A 2,907-nucleotide genomic window follows, 5' to 3' on the forward strand; every position below is an offset into this window, starting at 1 on the left:
AGACTTAGTGTCCTTAGAGTTACAACATGATTTTGATTATGCAGATAATTAGCTTTAAGTAAATTATATTTTACATTTCATGAGAATAATATTTAAACAACAAGCCGGGCACAGTGGCTCACGCCTGTAATCCCAGCACTCTGGGAGGCCAAGGTGGACAAATCGCCTGAAATCAGGAATTCAAGACAAGCCTGGCCAACATGGTGAAACCTCTTCTGTACCAAAAATACAAAAATTAGCCAGATGTGGTGGCACACACCTATAATCCCAGCTACTCGGGAGGCTGAGACAGGAGAATTGCTAGAACCTGGGAGGTGGAGGTTGCTGTGAGCCAAGATCGCACCACTGCAGTCTAGCCTGGACAACAGAGTGAGACTCCATCTCAAAATAAGTAAATAAGTAAATAAATAAATATAAAATAAACTACAAATGTTATGGCGTGGCACTATCACAGCAGAGCTGATGAAATACGTGTGCCTAAGTGAAGTAGAGAAGACATGTGCATTTGGGAAGTGACTCTTTCCACAAGTAGAAGCTCGTGGAGAGGCAGCTTATATCCAAACCCAGCCTTCAGCACAGCTGAAATTGGGTGAGTTTCCTTTGTTAAAGTTTGTATATTGAAGTAATAAAGTGATATAATCCTGGGCTTTGGAGTGGATTTACTAAAGGCAATAATGCATGCTGTACATTTTACATTGAGGATTTCAAAACACTGGTTATTTGTTCTATCATTGACTGTCCTTTCTGGTCCCGAGAGCTGTATAAAGTGAGCTGAGTGCAAATGGATGTTTGAATTTTATTATATTTGGCTACCAAGTCAATTAAAGAAATCGCTTACCCTGCCCATTCACTACAAGTGCTGTTGGCCTTGGGATTTTTATACCTTTGGTCCTTGGCTACAATAGTTTCTACATAATAAACTGAGATTAAAGTTGTTCCCTGTCATGAGATGAATAATATTTAACATAGCTATTCAACGTATCCAACTCATAACCTTTGACCAAATCACTGGAATAATTTAATTTTTTAAAAACCAGATTTCATTCTGCTTTGAAGCAAATTGATTCACCACCTCAAACTAAAGGTTTGAAATGAGCATTTAGGCATAAGTGGCTTTCCTAACCCACAAGGGAGGTCAATTCCCAAAGAATCTTTCATTTTTGCAGTTCGGATTTACTTTCTCACAATCATTTTGCAACCTATCTGCACAGAGTTTATACCTTTGAGGTATAATCCCAAGTAATTTATCACTTTTTCTATACACTAAAATTAAATAGCTTAATTCTCAGGGGATTAGCTGAGAAAACATTTGCTGTTTCGGCCAACCCTCTGTAATCTATATTTCTTCAAGTTGTTAAAATGTCAAATTGAAAGAGGGTCCAACAAAGCAACAATGAAGTTCAAAGAGAGTAAACCATATTCTCTCCAGTTACTGCAATTTTTTAATTGATCTCATTGATCCTGGAAAATAAATGCATATTGCTGTAAGTTTCAGAAACTCAAGAATATTTTAAGACAATCAACTTAGGAATAAATATATTACTAAAAAGACAATTTTACTGGTCAGGCAAAGAGCTGGCTCTTTCTGGAAAAAAAAAATGCTGTGCTTGGGTTTTCAGTATTCACACAGATCCTTGTTTGATGATTTCCAAACATACAAAATAATGTATCTGTTAGAAGTATGTTTGAAAAGTTAATATCTGTAGTTGATTAGCACAATTGAGGAATTAATGTATTCACTTTTTATTTATTCTGAATTATAATTGCTAATTGTTGTCGGTTAATCTAAGTAAGGCCTCGGGCCTTTATTGGAAGTGTCTGTCTTTGAAAGTTGTCTGCCTTGAGTTTCCTCAGCTACAATCAAGACTTGAGAAATTCAAACACACTTGTAAATCTAGACATCTATTAATGCCCATCAATAACCAGTAATCAAGGCCTGAATCTATTAGCAAAACAAATAAGCAGCCTTTGAAATGAAAAGATAAATATAAGAAATCATGAATATACTAATTGCCCTTTGATGTTACAGCTGTTAGACCAAATTTGGCCCCTAGCAATGGAGAGAGACACTCGTGTGTGTGTGTGTGTGCGTGCGTGTGTGTGTGTGTGTGTGTGTGTAGCTGTGCATGCGCACATGAACATGCATAGATATGTCCTCTATGTGGAATTCTGCCTTTTAAGTAGTTCTGAAAAAGAATTACAACAGGTTTACTTTTACATGGGATATTTGCATAGACACAGTCCTTTCCCACCCATATTTGAACAACCATATTTTTTCCTTATTCCTTCTTAGTCATTTCCTCCTCTTTTCCCTGATACTACCTTAAATACCCAGACATTTCCCTACATTGCCCATCTGCCCCCACAGGAGCCATTCTCCTCCCAGCATGGCTCTGCAGGTTTCACAAGGGCAGAATCTGGATGACAGCCAATGGCCCAACAGCTGTTACTGATGAGCAGTGTTGGAGTCATCATTAGTTGGGAGGACAAAATTGCTTTAGGGATGTCTTGTTGGGGACTGAGAAACAATGGCCGAGATGGCCAGCCTGGCCAGCCATCAGGAGGCTCTGTGCTTCCTTTCTCTTTGAGCAGATACCAGCCTTAAGCCAGCTGTATCTATAATGGGCTCAATTGCAAAATGCAGCAGACTCTTCAATTGCAGCTATGAAGTTGCAGGACACTGTACAGCAAGATTCAATTGCTTAAAAGTATGTATGCATTTATGATTTTACATGTACACAAAAATCCAGGAAGTAGCTACACCAAATTATTGACAGTGCTCTGGGACAGGTACCAAGGCAGGTGCTGAAGAAAAAGGCCAATCCTGTGTCGTCTCAGGACTTTATGGTATAGAAGGGAAGATGATTACAAGACCCTGTGGTGATAAGGCCAGTATGGAGGGATGTG

At 38.7% G+C, this 2,907-nt stretch overlaps 1 annotated feature.

Moving 5' to 3' along the window:
• Positions 278–453: a silencer, noted in NCBI's record as "fragment chr13:73840510-73840685 (GRCh37/hg19 assembly coordinates)". NCBI's record gives its function as "represses an EF-1alpha promoter that drives an FKBP-Casp9 reporter gene in an ReSE screen in K562 erythroleukemia cells {active_cell/tissue: K562}" and the evidence as "EXISTENCE:reporter gene assay evidence [ECO:0000049][PMID:32094911]".

This window comes from Homo sapiens, chromosome 13, assembly GCF_000001405.40.
Source record: "Homo sapiens chromosome 13, GRCh38.p14 Primary Assembly".
Lineage (NCBI taxonomy): Eukaryota > Metazoa > Chordata > Mammalia > Primates > Hominidae > Homo > Homo sapiens.